Raw genomic sequence first — 14,935 nt, forward strand, 5'->3', positions numbered from 1 at the left:
AGCCAGGATAAAGAGAACAACAGCAATAAAAAATTAAAAACTGATAAGGAAGGAGAAAGAGCACATGCCATGTAATAATTAACAGCATTTACGTATGACCCAAAGGGAGGAGAAAGCGTGCCACACTCTGGTGAAGCAGGATGGTGGTAGAGTGGATAGGAAGTTAGAAAAGAATGGAGAGAGAAAGATGTTCAATAGGTTTGTATGTAGGAAGGAAGCAAGGTTGGGCAAGATCATATAGAATCTTATAAAACTTTAATATGAAATCTGGGCTTGGCCCATTGAATGGTTACTTAGGAATAATTTTAAGCCAGCTCCTGAGATCTGTGATTCTCAGAGGTCACTGTGACTGCAGCCTGGAGGAAGGAACAGGGATCTGATAAGGTGCCAAGGCTGGAGAAAGGGGAAAGAATCAGAAGGTTCTAACTTTACTGAAGTTAGGTCTGGAAAGAAGCGACAGTCCCAAATATTTAGATGATAGATAAGGTGACCGAAAGAGAGAAATCAAGTATGTGTTCAGGAGGAATGTCAGGTTTTACTGAAGTTTAATAGTCCTCTGTTAGAAAGTGTCTAACTCTAAAAGAAAGTATATTCTTATAGAATATTACATGAATTTTGCTGCACTCACTTCCCAGTAAGGAAGATAAAATAAGCCTGTTTGTAGAATAAAGACTAATAATACTTACCTTTATCATTAAATCCAGTTGCAGAAAAAAGGAGAAGCAAATTAAACATAACCGTATAAAAGAAATTACCTGTTTATTATTTTGCCATGTTTTTGCTATGCATATATTTGTATTTTGTGTGTAATTTAATATAATTTATTAAAGTATAATTTAAATGTAATACAATATATCCATTTTATGTGTACAGTTTAAAAAGTTTTAATATACATTCAGGTAAACATCAAAATAAAAATACAGAACATTTCCATTACTTCAAAACATTCCCTATCTTTACAGTCAAGTTCACCACCATCCTCAGCCCCACACAATCATTAATCTGCTTTCTACCAATATAAATTAGTTTTGTCTTTTATAGGATTTCATATAAATACAACTATCCAGTACAGACTCTTCATATCTGAGTTCTTTCATTCAGCATAATGTTTTTGAGATTCATCCACAGTGAGATTCATTCGTAGTGGCGTTTAACTTTTGGAAATTAGTCATTGTAATTACCATATTGTCAGAATACAGAAGAAAAGTTACATGATGCTTTTAATATGTCTATAAACATCTTTTTAAAGATTCAAAACCTATTTATTTTTTAAAACAATCAGAAAAGTACAAATGGAAGAGAATTTCTTCAAACCGATCAAGTACATCTACACATATCTCACAGGATGACATTATACTTAAGAAATTAGTTATATTAGTTTTGCTCTAGGATTCTCAAAATTATCTAGGTTAATAATTATATAATTTGGGAACAAAGATAAACACGCTATTCCTCTCAAATGTGTATACCTATTTTTTAAAATTGCCTCATTGCACTTGCTGAGAATTCCAGTATAATGCTAAATAGAAGTGGTGAGAGTAGATCCCGTTTTCTTTCCAGTCTTAAAGCAAAAGCATTGCAGTTGATTTTGAAATATTAAGCCAGGCATGCATTCTTGAGGTGAATCTTAATTGGAGGTGATGTAATATTGTTTTTTATATTGCTGGATTCAATACGTTAATATTTTCTCAGGGATGCTTTGTATTTACACTCATGATGGATATTCGTCTCAAATTATTTTTGGTAATTGCTTTCAGTAACATAATAATTCTGTTCTCTTGATGGCCATTTTTTAAATTGACACTGGACACTTTGAATGTTACACTATTGAGTGTCTGAATTCTGTTGTCTTAATTTAAAAAGAGTTTAGGTTTGGTTCAACTGCAATGAAGTAACCTGAAGATTAGATTGGTCCTATTGAGCTTACTGAGGCTTTTTGTTCATTCTTTCTTCCTTCATTTTTTGCTCCCTCTCTTTCTTCCTTCCTTTCTTTCTCCCAGAAAGTCTAGTCATTATTCTAGAACCATCTTTCTTCTTAGCTACTACTAAGTTAGTCATCTTTCCCTACCTGTGCCCCAGTTTTTCAATAATATCTCCCAGTTCTGCCAGGATGGAAACATAATATCTCCTGGACCACTGTGGGCTCCAGAAATGTTTATCTTTCAGCTCCCTAGTAGTTCTTTGCCCAGCTTCATGGAGATTCCCCTGCTACCTGCACAGCTTAGAGTTCAGCAGCAGATGCAAAGGAGTCCTGCTGTGTGCTCCTTTTCTGTGTACCTCTTCCCCTCTAGTACTTGGCCTTCGTAGTCTCACACATGGCCTTCTCCCTGAAGTCCAGCCTCTATCTTCTCAACCAGTGGAGCCACTGGCTTATAGCTTAGATTTCTTTCTCTGAACTATCACCTGGAAGGTTTGTTCAGGCAGAAATCCGGGGCAGCTGTAGGCCCAACTCATCCAGTTTGCTTCTTTTGGGTATTATACGCTTGTTGGCAATGTGTAAAAAAAGTTTTCCACGTATGTATTTCGGTTTCCTTTGTTTACAGTGAGAGGGCACGTCTAGTATCAGTTACTCCAATATGACGATCAGCAGAATTCCATGTGTCTTTGTATTATGTGAAATACTGTATTAGATGTAAGAATGCTAAATGATGTCATGCATTTTCAATTGACTTTTGAACTAGCTTCAGCAAATTTTCACTTTGTAACTCCAGTTCTTAATGTCTCTATTTATTAGAAACTGATTATCTAGCAACATAAACAAAATATTCTATTTTTTGAAAGATGTACTCATAGGAAAATGAATCCATTACAGATGATGAGTTTACATTTATATAATAAAGTTTATCAAAATGTATTTTTCTTAATCTGGTCTTGCAGCAAGTTTGCTAATTAATTCTCTATGTTAAAGAACCTACATAAGAAAATGGGGTTACTATAGCAGTTGAGATCTGGTTTGTGTGACAAAGGGAATTGGCAGAATGTCTTGACTGACAACCACCACCAGTGGGAAGATATCTCACAAAGCACACCAATCAAAACATATTTTAACAACCCGTTTAAAAAAATTGATAGATAGGAAAATTACTTTTCTTGTGGATCATATAAACAGGTAAATATTTTTTCAAGTATAATTGAATGGACGAACATTCTTGAACACACAAAAACTCCAGCAATGTAGTTTCCATCCTTCCAGGAGATGATTGTTGGTGGCAATTGAATTAATCTAATGGTAGAATTGGACTAACATAAAGGCTAGGGTGACAGAAAAGCGTGTAAGTGTTAAATGATCTAAAAAATGTACAAATGATAAAAATCACTCAGAAAGGGACAGGGAGAAGTAGGGAGAGATAGTAAATTCTTTGATTATCTAATTTTTAACAGCTGGATGTTTAATCAATTTTTAAAAATTAATAAATTATGAAATGAGAAAACATTTGTAATAGTAGTAAGCACAAGGAGAAATAAATAATTGACTAAGGTAGTAGAGGAGAGGAAAGAGAAGGAAAAGGAAAAGGAAATACTCCAAATTGTATCATTGCTTTTGGAATAAAATAGAAATTGTTGGGAGAAAGAGAAGACTAGGGTATAAAGTTATAGTTACAAAAACAAAACAAAATTATAATTTCCTAGATATCAGAAACAGTATGCACAAAAATATATTTATAAAGACATGATGTGAGACCTTAACAATATATAAAAATAAAATACAACATTATATGACCTAAGGGTAAATATATCTTTCATATTAGAAATTATAATGGGCTTTATTCAATTATTATGGGTAAAATGAGTTTCACATTGAATCAGATAGCAAACACAACAGCAAAATCCATACACAAAATACAGCCAAAGAATGTAATTCAGATTAGGTAAAAACAAAATGATGGAAAAAGTGTTCAAGGCAAATACAACCAAAAAGGAAACAGGAGTAATGAACTTAATGTCAAACAAATTGTAATTAAGGCCAAAAACTATGACCGATAAAAATAACAATAGTTTATATTACTAAAGTTTGCGATCTATGATGAAGGTATAATAATTATAAATATTCTACAAGTGGCAAAGGATCAGTATTCCATATAGCAGATATTAAAGAAGATACATGGAAAATTAGTCAAATGCCACTAATAATATCACAATTCCTGAGAATTGCAATGAGGAACACATCTTAAAATATTTCCAAAAAGATATTAAGTTTAGAAAATATTTTTAACTTAAAAAAAATAATTTCTCAGCCTTTTGGCTAACATCAAATGAAAACACATACACACGAACCAGAACTTTTTTCCTGAAGAAGTCCTTGATTTAGAATGCCCTATATAATTCTATCCATACCATAGTTCATCTTGATTCTTACTGCTTTCTTAATACTTAGCACATATTTTGCATTTATTATTTTTCAGACATGTGCATTCATTTACTGTGTTGTCTCATTGTATTTTGACCAACCTCTATAAGGTAGATATTATTTACAATATCAGATTTAAAAACATCAACAATAAAACAAAGTTTATAAACAGTAAGTGTTTGCTCAAACCCACATTGCCCGTAAGTGATAGGGCCAGGATTGAAATGTAGCCATTCTAACTTCTTGTTTACTGTTAATCTGTTCTGATATTACTGGAACTAACCTTTTTCTGAAATCTCATAGCTTTATGGAAAAACAAATATAACTTAAACATACTAAGTATATATTTTTATCTATTCTATCACTATGTTTGTATATTTTACTTTTCTCCATTTTTCCCACCTGTGGTTTCAAGAAAAAAAAACAAAACCCAAACAACTGCATCTCCTATTTTCTTTGTACTTTTTACTATAGGTGAAATAGTATCACCTACTGTCTCATAACAGACCGAATAAGTAGGCATCGTTTAAATCATTTTGGGAAACAAAAGATTTTTGTAGAAATTCTTGCTTTTTATGTGACATTTCTGAAGAAATTCACATCATTGGCATAAAAATTAAAAGACAAAATCTACAAATTAAGCATCAAAGTTTGCTTCCACTTGCATTAGATGGCCTGCCTTCCTCCCTCCCTCTCTCCCTCCCTCCCTCCCTCCCTCTTTGGTCCCCATTACCCAAGCTTATCTTCCCATATATGGTTTGGATCTGTGTCCCCACCAAAATCTCAGGTCAAACTGTAATCCCCATGTTGGAGGTGAGGCCTGGTGGCAGGTGACTGAATCATGGGGATGGAGTTCTCATGAATGGTTTAGTAACAAACATCCCCCCGTGGCAGTGTACAGTGAGTGAGTTCTCATGAGATCTGGTTGTTTAAAAGTGTGTCACAACTTATGCCTCTCTCAGTCCTGCTCCTTCCATGTAAGACGCCTGCTCCCGCTTTGTCTTCCACCATGACTAAAAGCCCCCTGGGGTCTCCCCACAAGCAGATGCCACCATGCTCCCTCTATAGCCTGCTGAACTGTGAGCCAATGAAACCTCTTTTCCTTATAAATTACGCAGCCTCAGGTATTTCTTTATAGCTGTGTGAGAATGAACTAATACACCTTTTCATATAATGTGTTGAATAAGAATCCTTTTTATTTGTATGTTCTCCTGTAAGATGTTTTTGTTTAATTTTGCGTAAATGGAACATGCTTGCTACATCTGCTTTTTGTTTTTTTTAAATCATTCCTCGCGGTGTTTCTAAGATGTGTCTATGTCGCTGTGAACATCTTTTTGTGTATCGTTTCTTTTCTAGTGTTGTACAGTGTCTCTATAGGTTTTTGCATTTGACCTATTCACTCTTCTGAAATGGACATCCAGCTTTTCTCCATGTCCTTTTAATCAGAAATATTACTTTGAATAATAACCTCATTCATGCTCCCTTGTAGACCCAAGAGGGAACTTACTTGAGATATATACTCAGGAGTGAAATGTATGAGTCAGAGGCCATATATAAGAATACTTAATTTAACAAAAGCAGTACCATATTGCTCTAAGAATGGTGTCACCCCACTATATTCTCTCTAGTAAAGGAGGGTTATGATAATCTCACATCCAACTTACCAATGTTTGACAATAAATAGAATATAAAGTGACAACACACTGTTCCATTTCATCCTTTGTAGGATTTTCTCTACCAGTAGAAAAAAGATCTTTGACATGATTTTTTACATAAGACACAACCCAAAGACTTAACTTGGAAATCCAGGGGAAAAAACATTCTGTTGAACATTGATCTATCAGAAACCGACTGTTTTATGGCTAATGAGAGGGATAAACATGGATATGTGAATATCCCAACAATTTGCTCCTGGTACTGCTACCCTTTCAAAGAACAGAGAATATTCAGCTTGCTCATTCTAATTACATAGGATGAATCATAGTTCTTTAAATGTAATAAAAAAAGAACAATCTGTCAAACAAAAAAGGCACTTTCTGATAGACATATAAAATAAGACAGAAAACTCAGCCTTAGAATTTATGAAAAAATTATCTATGAATTCTATTAATTAAAAATATAAATTAACTACTGTAAAATTAACTATCAAAAGACGGCAAAACACGTGAGTTTGAAGAGTTTATACCTTTCAATTCTGTCCACACATTATCCATTAATTGCAAATCTTAGAAATTTTTTTAAATAACAAAACTGATACTGAACTAGCAATCTATTTTTCCATATTTTTTCTCATCAATATAATTATATTCCTAAATTATCAATATAATTTATAGGTAAATATATCAAATTATTTTATCATTAATACATATTCAGTATTTAAGTAGATAGAATTGATAATGAACCAGAAAAATTACTACTTTTGAATCTCAATATTTCATAATAATAATGTATTTTTTCCATCAGTGATGACACTACAGTTATATATGATATAAAAGCAAAATTCTCACAGTATTATTCATCTCTGCACCTCCTATACTTACAACACAGCTTGGTATTGAGTTGATGCTCAATAAATATTTATTAAAGGAATATATTTTTATACATATTTCTGATATCAGAAATTGTAATGGATTTAGAATTAGGATTCATGAGTTTTAGTTCAGAATCATTTATTTATGATGATACTTAAGTAAATACTGAAATTCTGTGTCATCAACCTACCTTCTGCTGGGCATTCAGCCTATTTCAAAGTTGTCCTGTTTTTATGAGAGAAACGATCTGGCTCCTTTAGTAAGGCATATTTCAAACGAAAGAAACATTCAACAGAAAAGTAACTTCATGAAGGAGTCCCATACATGGATATCATATGATTCCTTTTGAGAATAATCCTAAGAAATAGGGTAGAGGAAGGGCACCCAAAGGCTTCAGAAAGTAGGTAATGAATGGCTTTGTGAACCCCTGAAATGTATCTGAAGCAAGTTCAGAAATGAGAAGATAATGGCATTTCTCTACCTACAAATATGATAGTTTGAGACTTAAAATGCAGCACCATAGTTAAGAGTTTGAGAGATGAAGTTACTGACAAGGTTGAAATTGCAGCTCCATCTCTTCTTGTTTCTGTGATCTTGAGCAAGCCTTTTAACAATTTCCTTGTTTGCAAACTGGAAATAATAATATCAACTAATTTGGGTTCTTGTGAAGATTAATAAATTAATGCATGTAAATTGCACAGCAAGGTAAAAGCACTCAATAAATATTAACTGTTATTGTTGCAGTATTATAGCGACATCATATTTGCCTACCCAGCACATCACAATTTTCTTTCTCTGACAAATTGCCTCTTTCCAAGTTTTGAATGAGCTGCTGACAGGTATTTTTCTTTTCCTTTTTGTAATGATAATTTAAGGTTGATTAGATCAACTGTGCAACAGAGGTGATGGGAGGTGGGGGGAAAGGTGGGGGAAGGGCAGAGAGGAAGATAAATATTTGACATAATCTGGACCAGGTTATATCTGTGAACAAATAGAACCTGAAAAAGCTAATCCCTCACGATGGGTTCAGGGTGGCTAACTGGGTTTAGATTTTAAACAGAGCCAAGTGGTCATTTGCTAGCTAGAACTAACACAGGTACTCAAGTTTCCTGAAAGTTCCCATATCCTGTTGAACTTCGGGACATTCAGAGCTCAATTGAACCAACTAATCAGAGCCCAGCTGAATTGACTAATCAGAAATCAGCTGTATCAACCAATAAGAACTAAGCAAGTTTCAATTCTTCATTTGCATAAATGGGCCTGATTGAGAACCTGGGTCCAGACTTTTGCTAAAAAACCTTGAACCCTCTCTTTCTTCTCTGGGAAGGACCTTCATTTTATATTGAAAGCTGCATCTTTCTGATCTGTAAACTCTTCATTAGAATGAAGTCACTTTCCTCCACATTTCTTTTCAGAGAACTTTTGATCACATATCTCTCAGTAATTTGAACTTAATACTGAAAGGAAGTTTCACAGAAATTTTAAGGGTAAGAGGGTGGAATAAAACTCAGATGCTATAAGGGCATCTCTCTATATGAATAGAGACGAGAAAGAATATTAGCAGTACCATGAGTGAAGCAGATTACTTTAAAAAAAAAAAAAACAGTGAAGAATGAATGATGGTGTCTTCCCCACAGTTTTCTAATTTCTGGCCCTTTAAAATTCAAGTGACCTTAGGTTAAACTAAATGTGGCTTGAGGCTGCTTCTGTGCTTTGAATCCCTATATAAAAAATTGCAATCTAACTTAGTAAAGGAACTCCCTGAAAGTTTAATTTAGAAGTATACGTTTGTAACAAATACTTGAGTCTTGGCCAGTCATAGCAGCTGAGCTTCAGTCAATCATAGGCTGCCAACTATTCAGACCATGTTTAATTAAGTCAAATGCCCAGCTGTAATCAATCCAGCTGTTTCTGTACCAGCTGTTTTATGTCTGTAAAATGAAAACCTGCCCACTTTGTGAAGCTGAGTTCTAATGAACCTCTTCTGTTTCTTGGGGCTACTAGATTCTCAAGACTTTGCTCAGTTAAATTCTGGGAAATATAATTCATGTAAAGTTTTTTAACACCTGTTGCTTGTCTTCTACAGGACATTTAAAACTATATTTCCTTCATAGAATAACTTATATTGGCTTCTGTTATTTGCAACCTAAAGAACCTTAAATGAGACATATATTAATATGTATATATTAATAAGAGCTAATATATTTTGACTGTTTTTTATCCTGATTCTCAATATAATGGAATGGAATTTATATTTTAAAGAAGCAACATAGGAACTGTGTGTGAATGTGTGTTTATAGTTGTCAGTTCACGTATTAAGAAAACCCATGACTCAAGAAAGATTGTAATAAGCCACCTTAAAAGGTACCATTCCCTTGATTTTAGCTGTTCCAAAGGCATTGACTAATTTAAAATGTTTGTACTATGTTTGTCATATTCCATAAACAAAGATTATGCCCTCTGGATCACTCTGTCTTTTGAAAATTAACGTAATTGGAAATTTAAAGAAATATTTTAAAGGAAAGACCACTAAGATCGTGATATATGTATATATATAATTTTCTTTTATCTTTTCATAGATTATTTTCAATCTGTCAGTACACACAATGTCCACGGGAGAATTATTTACCTGTTTCTAAAGTCTATTTATGCATCTTTCAGGAACAAGCAAATATCACACTGTATTTTATCTTTTCTTTAACCAAATGCTGTCTGACACATCTCCTTCTATTTAAAAATCAAAGGCTTGCTAAAGAAACTGCATCATTCCCTTGGGCATGAATATCTGTAACAAATATATAAGTACGTTGGTTGCAAAAAGAATTAAGAGTGCATTAGCTAGTTAGCATTTCATGAATGACAGGCATACTTATGCCTCAAATATAGAACAGAACAGAAACTGTAGCATATAGGCTTTAGAACCAACTGCTTTGGTAATTTGACATTGATAGCAAAGATGGAAGCATATTACGCTTTCTTGAAAAATAGGGCCTTTTTTGTGATACTATTTTTATTTAAGTTATAAGATAACCAAACACCTCAAAAGAAAGCTATACATATTACCATCTTTCTGGAGCAATATTTAGCAACATGTCTCAACAGACAAATGTCTTCATGATTTCTGACCTAGAGTACAATTTCTACAGTTTATCCTAAAGATATCCTTAGACTATACAATTATAATTTTAACAAGAACAAAAAAGTGGAAATATAATTTTTCAACAAGTGAGAACTAATTAAAATTACCATATTAATGCATACTAGAAATTCTACATAATCAATGCAAGTTATTTGTGGAAATACATATTTGTTAATATGTGAACAAATATAGACAAACAGAAACATATATGTGTTTGTGTATGTAGATATATTGATTTGCAAAGATGTTTACAATATATTTATAATGCAAATTACCCAGGGTTTTTCACTGTTCTGTGATATTTTCTTCTTAAACCCAATTACAATGCTTCCGGTCTCCATGTGGCATACCATGGAAAATCAAAGCTTCACCAATTTCATGACAAAGGCCATCTTTTCTTGCTCAAGTATTTTGAAAATAGGGAGTTGGTCTCAGTTTTGCTAATGAATTAGCTTATACAGTAGCTTTCAAAAATTATTTTTTTCATTTTTAAATTGTTCATACATTTATGTACTTAAAAAACAATAAGAACATGTACAGAAAACCCTCCCTTCTCTTCTTTTTTGTTGTTTACTTTAGGACACCCCTAACCAAGCGGAGGTAACAATTGTTTTTTTCATATTCATTCAGAGTTTCCTTATTCATGCAAAAGTAAATAAAAAATAGATTCTTACGTTCTTCATAACATACATAATGTTACACCTTTGTTGGATAAAGTATTAAAGATGTCAATTATATTGGTTGGTTTTGTTCAGTTCCTCAATATCATTGCTAATATTCTCTCTAGTAATTCTCCTCAATTACTGATAGTGGTGTGTTGACATCCCAATTATAATCACGGTTTTGTCTATTTCTCTTTCCAGTTCTATCAGTTTTTGCTTCATGTACCTTGAAGCTCTGTTGTTTTATGCATACATGTTTAGGACTGATACAACTTCTTAGTAGATTGACTTTTTATCATGAAGTAACATCTGTCTTTTTCTCTAGTAATTTTGTTGGCTCAAAAGTTGACTATCTTATTTTGATGTAGTAACTACATTTGTGGTTAATGGTTGCATTGTCTATCATTCATATTTGTTTATTACCAACCTACCTTTGTCATATTTAAAATACATTTCTTGTAGACAGCATATTGTTGAATCATGTTTTTCTGTGCACTCTGCCAGTCTCTGTCTTTTAACTGGCATATTTAGAACATTTATATTTAAGGTAATTATTGATATATTAATATGGTTCAAATATTCTATTTTATCATTTTTTCTGCTTGTTTTGTTTCTTGTTCCTCTGTTTCTCTCATATTACTGTATTGCAGGTTATTTATTCATTATTTAGGATTTCGTCTTCATTTATATATGGTGTTCCAGAGTACAGCATTTTGCATCCTTTTCTTAGAGAATGCCTTAGGTATTACAATCTACATACATAACTTATCAAAGCTACCAGTATTGACATTTTACAACTTTGAGTGAACTGTAGAAGCATTACTTCGTTTAGATTATTTTATAGGCCCCCCTTTTAATTATAATTGTCTTAAGTGTTTCCTCTACATACATTGAGTACTATATTGCATGATGTTATAGTTTTTGCTTCAGCCATCAAATATGAGTCAAAAACTTACGAGAAGTGGGTTAATTTCTTATATGTGTCCTGTTTTTACCTATGTCCATGTTTTTTTTTTCTTTTTAAAGTTCCAAGTTCCATAACGTTTCCTGTTATCATCTCCTCTTGTTAAGATAACTTGTTTTATCCATTTTAAGAGTAGGTTTGATAGCAACAAATTATCTTCGTTTTCCTTCACCTAAGAACGTCTTTATTTCTCCTTCTTTCTTGAAGGATATTTTCACAGGATATATAATTTGTACTTGATGGTTATTTTCTTTTAGTATTTGAAAATGTTCCCTCGCAGAGCATTTTCTTATCCCTTTTTCTAGTCTTCAGGCTCCCCTTATTATTCAGAAAACCTGTCTCTCAAGGATTTCAAATTATTGTATTTTTATGCAAACAATGTGTCTCCTTTCTGAAGCGCTTCCTTTAGTGCCATGTCGAGGGAGCCTTGCCTTTGTCAACAAAAATGCTCATTGGGACTCTTTCCCAAACATGACATCCAGTAGTACCTAGAATTTAAGAAAGTGGAAGCCTGACAACCTATTTTATAGCATTTATTTGCCTGTTATATATGTTACATTTCCATAAAGTTAGAACTGTTTTACATAAAACTGCATTTAAATTAATTTTAAAGCATTTGTGGGTACACTAGCATATGCACGTAAATAATTTTAAACATAGTTCTTAATTCTTGTGATGCGTTGGAATAATCTGAAGGCCTTTTTAAAAATGCTGATGCTGGGGCTCCATACCTACAAATTCTTACTCAGTTTGCTATGATGGGCTACAAGCTTTGTATTCTCCCATTCATAAAGGTCAAAACCTCAGGTCATTTTGGATTCCTCTCACATCTTCATTTCTTATATAATTAATTCCTGTATATGCTTCTGTGGAATTTTGGTCAATATTTACTTTTCCTTTCTGTATGCCTAACCATTATGCTAATTCACCCTCTCATTAATGTCTACTATTACCATAATAACAGTCTCCTAAATATTCTCTCTAATATTTCTCCTGGCATTAGGGCTATAATGGAAATGAATAATAGTTACTATTCACTAAGAATTTCCAATGTAAAGGGTATAGTGCTAGATATGCTAAGTCATTTAGACCTGACAATGACCTTGATATACAGATTTTATTTTCTTTCCCATATTACGCAGATGGAAACGGAAGCACTGATAGACTACAGGCCATCTTATCATGCTTAAAAGTGGAAAAACTGTGAGTAAAATTCAAATATATTTAATTTTTAAGTGTCTCCTCTTAAAATATTCTGTCTCTCATTCTCATTCTGTATGAAGTGTGATATGGTTCGGCTCTGTGTCCCCACCCAAATCTCATATCGAATTGTGATTCCCATTGTTGGAGGTGAGGCCTGGTGGGAGGTGATTCGGTCATGGGGGTGGTTTCTAATGGTTTAGCACCATCCCCCTAGTGCTATCTCCTGATACAGTTCTCAGGAGATTTATTGTTTGAAAGTATGTAACACCTCCCACTTCGCATGTGTGCACGCACTCTATCTCTTGCTTGTTCGCTCCCTCCCTCCCTCCCTCTCTCCTGCCAGCCATGTGAATATGTGCTTGCTTTCCCGTCACCTTCCGCCATGATTGTAAGTTTCCTGAAGCCTCCCCAGAAGCAGAAGCCTGTACAGCCCACAGAACTGTGAGCTGATTAAACCTCTTTTCTTTATAAATTAACCAGTCTCTGGTATGTCTTTATGGCAGTGTGAGAATGGACTAATACAAGGTGCATTCTTGTGTGACAATTTAATGTTTCTTTATCCTCTCTAGTGCATGCTTCCTGAGGGCAGAAATTTTATGTGCTTTTCACACAAAAATTGTTAAGTTTGCAGACTTTATTTAGTAAAAGTTGAATAATAGAATACTTTGCAATACAAGATAAAGTTTATTGGAAAGTTACAGCATTTTTTTTGTCTTCTCAGAGATTATATTTTTGTTTTAAGTCAGTAATGATCCTTCACCTTCATATTATTAATTTGTTTTGACTATCCACTATTTAAATGCAGTACAAAAATAAATGCCAGCTCCATAATAAAATCTCCATGATTCCAAATTAGTGAATAAAAACATTATGAATAAGATTATTTAGCTACCAAAATTGTCCCTTCAAAACTCAAATTATATTATATAATCATTAGATGCCGTCAGTACCATCTTAGGCATGTATTACTGTTAAAAGCTTAAAAATGATATTATTTTAAGAAGAAAATATGATTTTGGCTCTATCATATTATCTCAATGTTATATAAAGTATGCACAGAGAAAAAGACAGACAGGATGTTGCACTGAAATATTACCTGCTTGTGAGATGACAAGTGTTTTTTTTCTACCTTCTGCCTTCTGTTTTAAATTTTTTAATGGAAAATAATATCTTATACTTGAATGGAAAACAGAAAGCTTATTTTTAAAAAGGAATATTTTATAAATAACTACAGATTACTCAAGAAAATTGAAGGTAAATATTCTAGGAAAACCAAAAGAAGTTTATGACTTCTCATTTTAAGTATCACAACCAAACAAACAAACAATAATGGGGATGAAGGCCAAGTAAATTTTATTATCGACTGAAGAATATTAGTGTTTTGGCCATGACAGAAAGTTTGAAAATATCATAAATATTGAAACAAGGGAATGACAAAAAATGTCAGAGATAAGACCCAAGAAATACCTCTTACTATTTTCTATTAACAGAAGGTTACTAAAACATTCATAGCCCAAGGCCCTACTGGGCTAATTTTTTTTTTTTTGGAAGATGCTACAGCAGCACAAAAACCCACTGGTAGATATCTCTGAATATACTCTATGAGCCGAAGGAGCAATATTTAAAGCATAACAAAGCTATTTTTATATATGTATGGACCATCTAAACATTTACACGATTTACAGATAAATTTATGCCAGCTCCATAATAAAAGCTCCATGATTCCAAATTAGTGCTAAAAACATTATGAACAAGATTATTTAGCTACCAAAATTGTCCCTTCAAAACTCATATTATATAATGATTAGATGCCATCAGTACCATCTCAGGTATGTATTACTGTTAAAAGCTTAAAAATGATACTATTTTAAGAAGGAAAATATGATTTTGGCTCTAGTATCATTATTAACAGAAAAATACTTAGTATAGAATAGATTAAAATGCTGAAAAGAGGTTTTAATGACCAGTTCATTACAATTCCCTAAAATCTAGCAGTAAAAAATAAACTATGAGGATATGAATTATAAAATGTTCATTAAGCAACTTTTCAAATACTGAGTCCCTAGTGTGAGTTGTAAAGGCACATGT

Source organism: Homo sapiens, chromosome 5, assembly GCF_000001405.40.
Source record: "Homo sapiens chromosome 5, GRCh38.p14 Primary Assembly".
Classification (NCBI taxonomy): Eukaryota; Metazoa; Chordata; class Mammalia; order Primates; family Hominidae; genus Homo; species Homo sapiens.